The sequence below is a fragment of the Homo sapiens genome, chromosome 5 (genome assembly GCF_000001405.40).
Source record: "Homo sapiens chromosome 5, GRCh38.p14 Primary Assembly".
Lineage (NCBI taxonomy): Eukaryota > Metazoa > Chordata > Mammalia > Primates > Hominidae > Homo > Homo sapiens.
In genome coordinates, this window is record NC_000005.10 from 170,308,701 (window position 1) to 170,323,525 (window position 14,825).

The 14,825-nt window shown below is 43.4% G+C and overlaps 1 long non-coding RNA gene across 1 annotated transcript, besides 1 other annotated feature; it reads right to left on the reverse strand.

Moving 5' to 3' along the window:
- Positions 1-4,016, reverse strand: LOC100128059 (uncharacterized). The gene is made up of 2 exons (NR_147701.1): positions 3,839-4,016; positions 1-2,004 (listed from the first exon to the last, which is right to left on the reverse strand). It is a non-coding gene; the product is annotated as an uncharacterized LOC100128059 (long non-coding RNA).
- Positions 3,936-3,985: an enhancer, noted in NCBI's record as "active region_23606". NCBI's record gives its function as "activates an Ori minimal core promoter by ATAC-STARR-seq in GM12878 lymphoblastoid cells {active_cell/tissue: GM12878}" and the evidence as "EXISTENCE:reporter gene assay evidence [ECO:0000049][PMID:35858748]".

Consider the following 14,825-nt stretch of genomic DNA (forward strand, 5'->3'; position numbering starts at 1 on the left):
CATTCATTCATAATATATTTATTGAACACCTGCTATGTGCTAAAGAATGTAATGGGATTCAGGAGTGAACAAACATAAAGTCATCGATCTCATGGAGACTAATAATGATAATGTTATAATAATGGTGATGATGATGGTGATTAATGAGCATTGAGTATTTACTTTGTACCAGGGGTGTTTCCCTTACTGTAAAATGAGGAAACTAATGCATAGGCAAGTTTCATCCTTATGTGGCAGACAGAAATTAACAAAGGAGCAAATAAGAGGTGCGAGGGCTCTATGTACAATTTGGTAGCCACTAGCCTGGCTATTTAAATCTAAAGTCATGGAAATGCAATAAAATTCAAAATTCAGTTCCTTGGTCACACATATTTCAAATGCTCAACACTTACACATATCCAGTGGCAGTCACTTCGGGCAGTGCAGACACAGAACATTTTCATCATTGCAAAGTTCTACTGGGCAGCCCTGGTCTAGAGTGTTGTGGCTCATAATGGAAGCTCCAGGGTTTGAATCCTGATCTGACACTCACCAGATGGGAGACCTTGAGCAAATTTCTTAACCTCTCTCTATCTTGGGTTATTGATATATAAAATGTGGTCAATGGCAATACCAATCTCAAGGAGTTTGGGAGAAGATGAATTAATTCTAGGATGTTTAGAACAGTGTCCATCACATAATAAACATCTGATCCATTGATCATATCTACTATTATAAATATATAAAATGATGGGAGGTCATGATAAATGCTGTAAGGGAAAATAAAGCGAGGCGAGTGGTTGGATGTGACAGGGTCTTGCTTAGACGAAACAGTCAAGGGTGTCTTCTTGAGAGGGTGGCCTCTGAATAAAGTCAGGAAGCCAGACCTGTGGATAACTGGGGGAAGAACATCCAGGCAGAGGCCGTGAGCAAAGACCCCAAGGCTGGGTCTTGCTTGGCATGTCCCAGGTACAGCAGAGGCCAGTGTAGCTGGAAAGGAGCAAGTGAGGGAGAGAGGAGGCAGATGGGCTTGGAGAGATGCTAGAGGACCATGGTGAGGACTTGCACTGCATTGAATGTGGTGGGAGCACCTGGTGGGTTTTGAGCAGGGACGTGTTGGGGTCTGACTTATATTTTAGAGTCACCCTGGCTGGCCATGTGGGGCTAGAAGACCCCAGGGGAGGAGATGGAGGCTGGGAGGTCTGATAGAAGGCTGCTGCAGCCAGCAGGCCAGTGGAGACACCAAAAGAAGGGGCAGTGGGTAGGCTTTGCATTCAGGGCAGCTCTCACACTGGCTGTCCCCTCTGCCTGGAGCAGGCTTTGCCCAGATGTCCTCCTGGCTCACTCCCTCACCTCCTTATGTCTTGACTCAGAGGTCACCCTTCCAGATTAGACTGCCTGACCCCTTCTGTGCTTTCTGTTTTCTCCTTATTACAAATGAATCTGCACCATATTTCACTGATTGTGTTTGCTGCATGCATGAGGGCTCACATAAGGATGTGCTTTTTGTCCACTTTGTTCATTGCTGAATCACTAGCACTGACAGCTGTACCTGGCACAAACTGGGTGCTTAAGAAATATTCTTGAATCAAGGAATCAATAAATGAATGTTATAGAGAAAGCAGGAGAATAGATGATAATTGAGAAAACTGAAGCCCAGAGATGGGAAGTCACTGGCCCCATGTCACACAGCAGCAAATGCAGAACCGGTCCTGGAACTTCAGCCTCTCAGCCCCGGCCCTGTCCTCTCCTGTGCTTCTCACCACTTTATGTAAGTTTTTTCTTTATTTGTGGAGCTCTCAGCAGGCATTTTTCTCTCTGTGCTCAGTTGGCATTTTTCCCTTGAACCAGCTGTGTCTTCACTCTCTTCCCCATTTTCTCCAGAATATGTTCTTCTGTTTAACTGAATGTTCTCTTTTTCTGCAGGTCTGGCCCAACTGCAATATCCAGAGACTTTTCGGTGTCATATGAAAGAAAAGGAGCAGGAAGCCAAGATGCCCCACCTGGCTTCTACATCAGGGTGATCTGCATAGTAAGATGCAAAGACACTGACATATGCCTGGGGGTAACGAGGGCAGTGGGGGGAGGGAGCTAAGCCAAGATAAGCCTCCTCCCCACCAAACATAGGTGCTACTGAGCAATGATAGGGGGCATGCTGTCTGCTCTGGTACTTGCGTAGGGAATGCTCTGAGAAACCTCACTAAATCTGCCCTCTAGAGTAGAGCAACCTGGGAGCTCAGGCTTCCCTTTCCTCTGTGTGATGGGTTGGCGGTCCTTAGAGCCAGCCATTTCGTCCTGCTCCTTCTCTCCTCCCCTTCCTGACCAATAAAGATTGTGTGCTTCTGCCCAGTCAGCAGGGTGGGCTCTCACTCCATCCTGCCTCTGGTATGACAGCACAATTCCCCTCATTCTTTATAATCATTATAAAATAAAATAACTACCTTTTAGAATACTTATTTGATATGAGGCACTTTGCAAACCCACAGTCCTGCATATCCCATTTGACATATCAGGATGCTGGGCTTACAGGTTACCCCAGGGGTGGAGTTGGGCTCAATCCTAGGATTGTCTGCATCTGATTCTGAAGCTTGTTTTCTTTTCCCCTATACACAATCATTCATTCATTCATTCAGTAATTTTTAAATTGAGACATACTATGTACCAGCACCTGTTCTAAGCATTGGATTATGGTGATGAATGAGGCAGACAGGGTCCTTCCCACAAATAACTAACTCTATTCAAGCAGTGGGAGAAAAAGCAATGAATGGGAAATAAATGCACAAATCAAGTAATGTTGGATGGGACAACTGCTGTGGTCCCATTGAAACAAGCCCAGAGTGAGCCCAGTGTAGGGACTTCTTCATTGACTGGTTGGGAATTGAGTGACAATCGGTTGCTGCATGCTGATGGGTGCCAAATACAACCGTAAGGAAACACTCCCCTGGGAGGGAGGCGGGATCCAGGTTAGGAAAGAGCCTTGGATTGAGGCAGAGTGTCAGGAAGTGGGGAGGTACGCAGCTGACCTTGGAGAAAATCCCTGAGTGGTGCAGATCTCTTGAATCTCTGAGTGGCTCAGAGTCTTCCTGGAAATGCAGAAATCCCCATGCCACTTAGGGGCATCTTCATTCATCTCCAGCCCTCCTTTATTAAGTCATGTATACCATCTCCTCTCTTATGCTTAATGTCATGCCACTCTTCAATCCTTGTCCCTTCTTTCCCTCTGTGCCTGCTTGTGGTTTACTCCTGCTGACACCAAAGGCTGAGGAGGATGAAAGAACAATTCCAGCCCTGACAGACAGCAGTAGCAGCAACTACCTCTGGCTTCTCCTGGGGACTTTGCCAAGCCACACCTCTGTCTCTCCCTCCGCTGTCCCTCTGCAGCTGGTTCTTCCTCCCGCTGCACCCTCTCCACCCCTACCCACAGTCTCACACCCAGATTCTCCCTCTCTGCCCAGCCACCTTCAGATTGGAGGCTTGGTCAGACCTGACGCCTGGCTTTGAGTTTGCTTACCCTCCCTCCCCTGGGCTCCTGGATTCCAGATAGAATCTGGCTCTTCTCAGATTCTATCTGGTCAACTGACCAGGGTTCTGGGGCCCCACAATAGGACTCAGGGCCCTCAGACCCTATTGATCTGGTAAGTGACTGCAGAATCACCCTTATTCGTGAGCCACGAATGGAAGATTGCGAAAAGGCATCTTCCAGCATTATCCTGTTCCTTCTATGAGATTGTGCCAACGACCACTCCCTACTTCTCTTTTCTATCAATGCTGAGCATTATGTCCTTTGGAAAACTTCTCAGAACCTCCAAATATGGGTGAAGTGTCCCTCCTAAGTGCTTCCAGGGTGTGCTGTGCTTACCTTTCATATAGCACCATCTACACATGGCCATCTCGCTGCTCAGCTCTCCTACTAGAATATGGTCTCCTTGAAGGCAGGTCAGCGTGGTATCTCCATGATTAACAGGGTGCCTGGCACAAATGAATAAATGAGGCCGCTGCAGCCCTCCTGCCATGGACCCTGGGAAAGCAGAACACATGTTCATTTCCTTTTCTGACTCTCTAGGGCGTGAGAATCCTTCCAGATTGGGTGACTCTTCAACTTCCTCTTGGGGATCTGTAGGTGCAGCAAGGGTTGGAGAATCAGAAGCGCATGTGTTGAGAGCACCCTAGGATTGCTCAGTGACAAGCAGGGAAACCAGACTCCCTGTGACATCATCACTTTGGGGCATGCATGGCCTGGGGATTTCTGCATTTCCAGGAAGACTCTAAGACAGCCCTGTTTAGGATGTAGTGAATCACTAGCACTGTCTGGAGCTCTGAACTGCAGCAGAAGGCTGAGGTCTGTGAGACAGCCAGAAGAAGTGGGTGGGGGGAAGATGGTTTCATATAGATGCACCATCCAAATCCCTTCAAGTTGTCTGTGACCAACATTTCTTACTTTGAACAAAGTTATGGATTTTTTTCTACCTGTAAAAGTAAAACAGAGTCATCATGGAAACATAAATAAAATACAGGCAAGAAAAGGAATAATGAACATTAGACACTTAAAATGTTGGTATTTCCTTTCTTCAAGTAAAAAAATCTTTCTCACTGTCAAAATGAGAGTACCATCTTCATAGAATTCTTTATAACCTCTGTTAAAGGAAAACTTTAAATTTCCAAATTAAATTTAACAGAGTTTATTTGAGCAAAGAATGATTCACGAATCCACAGCACTCAGAACCAGAAGAGGTTCCGGGAGCCCAGGAGCATGAGCACTGAGCTTTTATAGGCTGAACATGGAAACAAAGCAGATAAATCACCTGATTGGCTACAGCTAGACATCTGTCTTATTTGGGCCTGGTGCGATGAATTGGTTGTCCGTGATTGGCTGAAACTCAGCTGTTTGTGATTGGCTGAAACCAGCTATTTGTTACCAAAAGTATTCTCCTAAGTTTCAGTTTGTTTATATACTAAGTTAGGGTGTAATTTGTTATGGAGGAATTCAAAGTGCGGAGGCTTCCTGCTTGTTTCATTTAATACCTCTTTGTGGTTTTTTAAATCCGTTTTCATATATGCAACATATTATGAATAGCTTTCCATGTGGCTGAATGTCATCTCAAAGCAGCTTTGAAACGGCTGCAGAGTGCTCCATGGTATGCAGGTACTAGAATTTATTTCAGTAATTCCCTATGGTTTAGATTGGTTCGAAATTTCATTATTATAACCCAGAAATGAGCATTCTTTTAGCTGACCCACTGCACACAGCCATGATTACTTCTTTAGGATAAATTGCCAGATGTCAGTTTGCTAGCTCAAGGATAGGAACTTCTGTAATTTTGCTACATCCCACTCCACTGTTCTCCACACAGTTTTCATTTTGGCTTCTGCCAGTTGGCCATGAGGGTATGTGTTGTCATTTTGTGACATTTCCTCGTGTCACAGCTGCCTTAGTGTCCTCTTAACCTGTTTTCCATGAAATGATGGATGGCAGGCCATGCAATTGGCTCCATTACCCACCTGAGAGAAGCCCCAGAGAAACCTCAATAAATCTGGCTCATACCAGGGGTGGCCAGTGTGAATATCAGTAGGACAGAACAATAAATGAAGAAATCCCATGCTGATCCTATTATACACAGCACAGAGATTAATAGACTCTGGGATCACACAGACCTTGATTTGAATACTGACCTTGACTTGGGCAAGATCTTGCTGAACCTCAGTTTTCTCAGCTGTGAAATGGAATCATACTGTCCCATCCTGATGAGGTTTAAATTGAATCGGGTGTCAAAAACTTATAGCATAGAGCAGGTACCCAGTGGGCCCTTGGGACACATTAGCCAGAATTGTTACTAAATAGGCACAATAATTTGAGCCAATGTAACAAACCTTTTGTTTAGTTGGGGTCCTTAAGAGACCTGTTAAACTGCTAAGAATGATTTCTAGCCAGTGTAACAATTGTGCCCAGGGGAAGAGATCCCCATATGAGTTAATTTCCTTAAATGTTTGCTATATTCTATGTTTCATAATTCAGTGTTTCTTAACATTCCCTGTGAAATTTTATTTGGTGTAACAGGGCTTATTTTCACAGAGCTTGTCCTACCAAGCCTTCTCTACGGCAAGGGAAAGGCAAACCCAGGCTTAGCCACCAGGGCAGAGGTTCCCTGGCTGGTGAGCTTAGGGAAAACACAAATCCTGGGGCTTCACTGAGTCCCCCTGGCTCAGATCTCCAGGCCACCCTGGGGATCCCAGGTGTCCGCACCATTAACAGACTCCTCAGGTAATTCTTAAGCTGGCTGGGCCTAAAACTGCAAACTGGTATTGGGCATGCCAGAAGGTAACCATAAATGGGCTATTTGGAGATTTCTAGGAAGAAGAATGACATTTTGTTTCATTCCATTCCATTTCATTTCATTCCATTAATACTAAAAATATTAACTAAAGCATCATTTCTACTATATATCCAGAAGAGAACATGGTCTTAGGTCTTTTAATAAATGAACTTCAGTTGCAAACTTTCTGCTGTGACGTTATATTTCTCTTTCCACCCTAGACCAGCCCCTAATGGGGCCATGAAGTCAGATTTTTGGTTCATGGTGTTGTCGGGGCAGCATAGCCCAGAATTCCACTTCCTTCCCTGAGGACACATTTATTCTGGTAGATGTGCTGTTTTCCATTTAAATGTCCTTTGGCAATAAAAGAGCTGGCTCCAACAGCAGACCACGGGGCTGGCTTTGTCGGCAGACACCACGTGTTCATGACTGGCAGCTTTGTCTGGAAGAGGGAGCTTTTAAAATGCAGTTCTATGCTGACTCTTTGGAGTCTTCCCAGGAAGATAACTGCTATTGCATTGCATGCTTAATTTAGAGCACCTATTTTTCCCTCTCCTTCAAGGTTTCTGTATATCTTCTCAGTTCATGAAATTAATTATTTGGGTACAATAATTGTACAAAGGCACTTTATCAGACACTTCGTATAAATTATTTCTCATTCTCAAGGCAACTTGGAAAGGTCAGTCTAGGGGTCAGCTGCTACTTTTGGTGATCAGGCATCACCCCCTCCTTCCTCTTAGTACGTTATGACAGTGGCAAGTGAGCATTACCTGTGGACCCCAAAGGAGTTCATTTCCTTAGAGCCAGCCATTCCTCAGTTAATCTGGTCTGTCAGACACTCTGTCCCAGGACACTGAGCCTTGAGCATGTGAAGGTGTGGGCTCTGCTGGGGGCTTGGCAGCCAGCACCTGTCTGTGTATCACCTGGCTCCTGCAGCGAGAACCTGCGGTGTGATTTCTGCAGCCTGGCCCTCTGAGATTCCATGGCTGCTGACCATTTTCCACTTTCCAAGACTGTTCACATTCCCAGCAATTCTGTGAGGCCCTGGCCTTCAAAGGTGTTCAATACATTCCTTTTTTTTTTTTTTTTTTTTTTTTGAGACAGAGTCTCACTCTGTCACCCAGCCTGGAGTGCAGTGGTGCCATTTCAGCTCACCGCAACCTCCACCTCTCGGGTTCAAGCAATTCTTCTGCCTCTGTCTCGCAAGTAGTTGGGATTACAGGCACACATTGCCACTTACGGCTTTTTTATCATTATTATTATTATTTATTTTTAGTAGAGATGCAGTTTTGCCATGTTGGCCAGGCTGGCCTTGAACTCCTGGTCTCAAGTGATTCACCCACCTCAGCCTCCCAAAGTGCTGGGTTTACAGGCGTGAGCCACTGTGCTGGGCCCCATTTGTTATTTAAGGGAGAGTCCGTTTCTGCTGTTTGTAACTAAGGACCTGTCTGATCTCTAGGAATTATTGACCCCAGTTTTCAGATAAAGAAGTTAAGCTTGAGGTTAGAGCTTTTGAGCAAAAACTCCTCTCCTAGAGAACTCAAGTATCCAGGAATACTCGGTCAAGGCTGGGCTGGACCAGGTCTGTAATCCTGATATTCAGAAAAGGGATGATTTCTCCTCTTTGGTTTGGTTTTCTCACTGAGGCCTGCACACCAGTTTATTTCCTGACTTGTGCATTCAACATGGGCAAATCCAGGTCAACAAAGACTGGCAGCTTATTCCTGAGTACAGTTCCACCAGGTATGGCACACAAAGTGATATGAGTTAGAACACAGATGGATATAGATGTTTTACAAATGTAAGTTTGCATAACACACACACACACATTGCTATGTGTTAGAAAAATACAATAAGCTCATCTAATTTATTATTTCATGTGTCTTATTGCTCAGAAAGAGGAAAAGATTTTATTGAAGTTGAGAAAAGAAATTGAATTAAAATAATATACTAAATAAACAAAAGTAACTGTGGCTCATCTTAGTTGGGCCAAAACCAGGATGGTGATGAATGGAGGTCTGAAATGGGAGAGTCCCCGCAGAGTAGGAAGAACCCTGAGGATAGTCTCAGCAGATTATGGCTCCAGATGTGTCAATGTAAAGGACGCATCTTCTTGGTACCATCTCTTTGGTTGAGATGAATCATCTTTAGGCTTTCACTTGCTATTGGTTGTCCATCCTTTATCTGCAAATATGAGTGAAACCAAGCCTGGGCGAGGGAGATAGGCTCTTTGCCCAGTGTCTAACGGGCAAGTGATGGGGGCAAGCTGAGTTTTTTCTGATTATTGAGAGGGAAGTCCTGGGAAGCCCACAATATATAAAATCAAGAGTTATGGTGAATGTTAACCCAAAGGCATAGGCAAGAGTGTGTTTCCAGGTGAAGCATTCCCTCCAGGAGTTGGAGAGGTTCAGATCAGAGTCACCTTTCTGTCTGTTCACTGTTTGCTTCCAGCGTTCAATAAGGTGGGAAAACTCCTTATTGCCCACCTACCGGGTGCCAGACACTGCTCCGAACTGGCACTGCAGGGTGGACAAGTGCCTAGTGTCTGTCCTCCAAAGCAAGAGAGATGGGTAATCTGTCCCATTTAGTTCTCTGGTGTGGATGCAATGGTACTGGTTAGCATATGAGCCAAAAGAGCAGGGGATGATCCTGACCTTACTGTGTGTGCAGAGTAAATGGGTTTGCAGAAGTAATGGTGGGGCGTGCGGGGGTTAGGGAGGCCTTACTTAAGCCAAGCAGGGATTTGCAAGCCTTCCCCATTTACTAGCTATTTGTTCTTTGGAGAAATTACATAATTTAACCATGCTTTTGTCTCCTTATCTGTAAATGGGAATAATAAGATCTTCATAGACTAAATTAGATAACCTATTACAAAGGAAAGGGCTCAATAATATCCCATTGAATGTATATACCATGCTTTCTTTATTCATCCATCAGTGGACATTTAGGTTGCTTCCACCTCTTGGCTGTTGTGAATAATGACACGGGAGTGCAGGTTATTCAGCCTTAAAAAAGAAAGAAATCCAGTCGTGGGCGACAACATGGATGAACCTTGAGGATATTATGCTAAGGAAATAAGCCAGTCACAGGACAAATACTGCATGATTCCATATATAGGAGGTACTTGCAGTAGTCAAGCTCATACAAGCAGAAAGCAGAATGGTGGTTGCCAGGAGCTGGGGAGGGAGAAAGGGGAGTTACTGTTCAATGGGTTCAGAGTTTCAGTTACACAGGATGAAAAAGTTCCACAGATCTGCTAGACAACGAAGTCCCTACAGCCAACAACACTGTCCCGTACGGTCAAAAATTTGTTAAGAAGTAGATCGTATGCTATGACCTTTTCACAATAAAGAAGAGAAAGAGCTTGAGCAGGCATGAATAGGTATACTTGTAGTAAATGTATAAAAACATAGGAGGAGGGCTGCCTTCCAATTTTTGGCAAGCATTCTTCTTCCAGAAGGGGAAGGAGAGTAATGGAATTGGGAAGGGAAAGACTCTGATGCATCTATAAATTTTATTTCTTAAAACAAAAGGGATCTGAAGCAAATGGCAAAATGTTGCCTTTGTTGAATCAGAATAAGGTATACATTGGGATTTACCACCTTTATTATGTTTGAAATATTTAATAATAACAATCAAGAATAAGACAGTGCTCAGCAAAGCAGCTTGGCATAGAGAAGGGTTCAAAATGTGGCGACTGAATAATGCAAACTAAAACACAGAGCCTGTGAAGAAGTCCAGAGCTAGAGAGAAAGTGCAGGCTTCTAGGAAAGCTCAGGCATCCGTGAGGCTGGAGTGGGTATGTGGGATCACAAACTGAGGTTGCGGAAGAAAGCCAGGGCCAGATCACAAATAGCTCCCATAAGCTGAGGCGCACCCTGCTAAGGCTAGCTTTAAGCCTGAAGCCTCACACCGTTGGTCTAGCATGGAATAAAATGAAGTCTCAGCTCCAAAGCCCATGTTACCATCAGGGGAGTCAAACGTGGCTCCAAGTCCACACAGCCCTATCACCTGGGAGGCTCCCTACAAGAAAGGCTCTGCCAGATGCCAGTGAGTCTGTGTTCCCTCTCTCTCTCTGTCTTCCTGCACATCACCTAGGAATGGCCAAGACTGGCCCTCCTTGGATAAGGAAGTAGAAAGCAATTGCTTTGATTAAATGAGCGAGGACACATAACAAGATTTTGTTACGTGTGTAATTTGAAGGCTTGAAGAAAAAAGCTGCCTTGCTTTGCATAGGGATTACTGGGGAAGCAAGAAGGTCTGTGGTTCTGCATGTGAGGTGGTAGATTCCAGAACCAGTGCCATCCCAAAGCCTCTGGGTCAGCTGTGAAGCAGCTGGGTCTGCGAACTCAAACAACGGTCACTCAGGACTCTAACAGTTTCCCAAAACACAACCGAGAAGGGTCACAATCCTGTCAGTTGAAGCAGAGGTTGGCGCCCAGCACTGCCTCTCAGGTTGGAGCCTCAGGGACAGCTTTGAAGCACTGTCAGCACTCCACCCACTTGAACCTGCCCTTCTCTGAGAGGTGGCAACCTCCGTGCTCCTGCCACAACCTTCTGTTTCCTGCTCCTGCTGTGCTCCACAATCACAACTGAGATGGGGGCTTGGGGCCCTGTGGCTGTGGTCCACTAGACTTCCAGTTCTCTGCAGCCTTACCCTCAAGAGGGGACAGGAAAATGCCTTGTCCCTAAGGTCTGTGGTCATTTTGATTGGAAGTTTCCTCCACCAAGAGAGAAGACTTTGAAAGAGCTTTTTGGGAAAAGGCCTGAGTTAGTAGATCTGTTAACAATTTCCCCCTGAATAACACAGGGAGTGGGTGTCTCTTCTCCTGAAGATAACTCCAGATCCTGACACCTGTGACTGTTACATATGTTGGGGATTGTATTCACATTGTAAGCTGCCATAATAAATTGTCACAAATTTAAGTTGTAGCTTAGAACAACTGCTCCACTCTCACATTTTTGGAGACTAGAAGCCTGAAATCAAGGTGTTGATCATGGCGGATCACACTTTCTCTGCAGGCTCTAGGGAAGAACCCTCCCTTGCCTGCTCCTAGCTTCTAGGGATTACCTTCAATCTCAGGCATTCCTTGGCTGGCAGGTGCACGACTCCAGTCTCTTCCTCTGTCTTCAAATGACCTCCTTCCCTGCATGTCTCTGTGACTCTGTATCTTAAAATCACCTTCTCCATATAGGCACACCAGCCATTGGAGTAAGGGCCCAGCCTAATCCAATATAACTTCAACTTAACTTGATTATATCTACAAAGACTCCATTTCCCAATAAGGATACATTCACAGGTGCTGGCGGGGGCATGAATTTTTGGAGGACACCATTTAACCCACTATAGGGACTTCTGGCTATTGGACACGGCAAGCCAAGGACAGCTTTCATGCAGCTGCTCACATCCCCTAGCTTTATTGAAAAAGGACCAACTCTACTGGTCTTCCCTTCAAGACACTTATAAACTTTATGGGGCCCCTGAGCATATCATGGATAGGGGAACTCTGAAAACTGTTGCAGAGAACAGACTTAAACTCTACTCTGTCCTGTGGGATTAGAAGATGTTGAGGAGCAGGGTATGACTAGTGCATTTGTGTCCTGGAGACAGATTGGAGCACATTACTATACCTAAAACTGAGCAGCGGAACTCGCTTTAATTATAAAAATTGATTCATCCTCCACTTCTTCCTGAGTATGTGACTACACAGCAAGTGATGACATGTCCAGTCTTATATGAGGGTAGGAAGAGCTTTGTGATGATGATCCAAAGTTGAACAGGACGCAGTTTCTGACCTCAAGGATTTAAAGTATAGTGAAGTGAAGGAAAGTAGTCAGTCCAAGTGTTCACCAGTGGAATCTGAGCAGGATGTGAAGTTTCAATGTCACTTGGTTAAAGGGAATTCCTTGCCTTAGACTTAGCCAACTTAGGAATACAGGGTAACTTTCTTACCCTGATTAAGAGTAACCAGACAAAAAATGCATACCTGACCCTTCACACTTAATGGTGAAAGAGTAAATGCCTTCCACCAGAGATTGGGACTAAGGGAAAGATGCCTGGTTTTACCATTCCTATTCAGCATCATACTGGGAAGTCCTCACCAGTGCAATAAGGTAAGAAAAAGAAGAGACATCCAGATTTAAAAGGAAGAATAAAAGAGTTCTTGTTCATTGACAATGTAATGGTCTACATAGAGAATCCCAAGGAATTCATTTTTTGGAAAGTCCTAGAAATAATAAATGAATATAGCAACATCAATGCATATAAGGTCAACATACAAAAATAAATTGTGTTTCAACTTAGGCATGAACAGTTGTAAACTGGTATTAAAAATAAAAATACCATTTCAAAAAGCTTCCAAGAAATGAAATGCTTAGGGAAAAATCTAACAAAACGTGTAGGATCTATATGCTGAAAACTACAAAACATTGATGAAAGATCCCCCAGAAGACCTAAGTAAATTGAGAGACATACTGTATAGACAAGCTGATTCTAAAGGTTTGCTTTTGCAAAGGACTTAGAGTAGCCAAAACAATTTTGGGGGAAACAAAGGGTAAACTTGAAAAAAAAATCATACTGCCTGATTTTAATATTTTTTACAAAGCTATAGTAATCAAGAGAATGTGATGTTGGTGACAAATCAGACACATAGATTAGGTTAACAAAGTAAAGAGTCTAGAAATAGATCCACATAAATATGGTCCATTGATATTTAATGAATGTGTAAAGGCAAATCATTGAAGAAGGGTAGTTGGTCAAAAATGTGGTCGAACAATTGGTTCAAATGTTTGGTTCATTGAACTAAGTATAAAAGTAGAACTATAAAACTTTTAGAAGAAAACATAAGAAAACTATTTTAGGCAAGAAGTTCTTAGACATGATACTAAACACACTATCCATAAAAGAAAAAAATGATAAACTAGACTTCACCAACATTTTTTTTTAAAATCTGCTGTATGAATACACTTGTAAGAGAACAAAGATACAAGCTACAAATTGAGAGAAAATATCTGCAAATCACATATCTGACAATATACCCAGGCAATACTGATTATGATCCTAAAAGATACTATTCTGAATGCCATAATCACAAATGTTGAAATTCCAAAAGTTCAAAATCCCTAAATTCAAAACTCCTTAATGTCTAAAAAAATCCCCATAATCAAAATCCCAAAGGATTAAAATTCCAAATGTTGAAAGCCTGAAATCCAAATTCTGGGGACGAAGTTGGTGCATTTTCAGTTGTATGCCACCTAATGTTAGTTGTGTCATGTTAGGCAGAACTATTACCTTATTATTATCTTTATTTGGAAATTAAGTATGGTTTAAGGAGATGCATATGGGTGCCAAGTTGATAAGGGATGGACTTGCAGACTTAATTTTAAGCGTCAGTTTGACTGGATTAAGGAATACCTGGAAACCAGGTAAAGCATTATTTTAAGTGTGTCTGTCAGGGTGTTTCCAGAGGAGACCAATAGTATGTGAGTTTCAGTGAACTAGGTGGGAAGGATCTGCTCTCAGTGTTGGTGGGCACCATCCCATAGGCCAGGGACCTGAAGAGAACACATACAGAAGGCGAATTGGTCTCTCCCTGAGAGCTGGGACAGATTTTTCTTCTACTGCCTTGGACATCAGAACTCCAGGATCACTGGCCTTTGGACTCCAGGACTTACCTCAGCAGCTACCTGGGTCCTGAAGCTTTGGGCTTCTGACTATGAGTTACATCATCAGCCTCCCTGGTGTTGAGGCCTTCAGACTTGGAGTGAGCCATGCTACAGGTATCCCAGAGTTCAGCTTGCAGACAGCCTGCATTGGGACTTCTCAGCCACCATAATCATGTGAGCCAGTTCCCCTAATAAATCTCCTCTTATATACCTATATACATGTCCTTTTGGTTCCATCTTTCCAAAAAAACCCTTACTAATGTGGATTTAGTATTGGGGAACCCAAATATCATTCCTTCTTACTGTATTCGTTAAAACACAACAGAAGAGTTCTGTGAAATTATTTCTCACAAAAAGGTTGTGATAAGTTAAGTATACGAGGCTGTTTAATGGTGAAAGATAAAAGTTTAAAAGCTAATTATTATTAGTGCTGCAAAAGCAGAAAATTCCTTAATTGCAACAACCAAGCAATAACCAGACTTTTAAATGGATGTCGTGGACTTAGAAAATTTGTAGACCATAGCCACTCTCCAAATACAAGTGCAGCAAGTGTTTCGAAGATTATACAACTGAAAATGCAGGCCAAGAATACAAGAAAACTCCCCTGTCAAATTATTCAGTCATATATGGTTTCTGCTCCTTCACACAGAGCACCAGTCCCCTATGCTATGTATTTTATCATTGCATTATTTTCAACACTGGAGGTATAAATTACGTATAGACTTTTAGAAAATTCTAATTCACTGTATGCATTTTTTTGAAAATTTGACTTCCTGAAAGTGCCTTATTGCAATTTTGACTTTGTGCGTAACCAGAGAGTGTGCATGTAAAAAATCAAAACTCCCTCAACCAAGGAAGAGCTATCCTTTT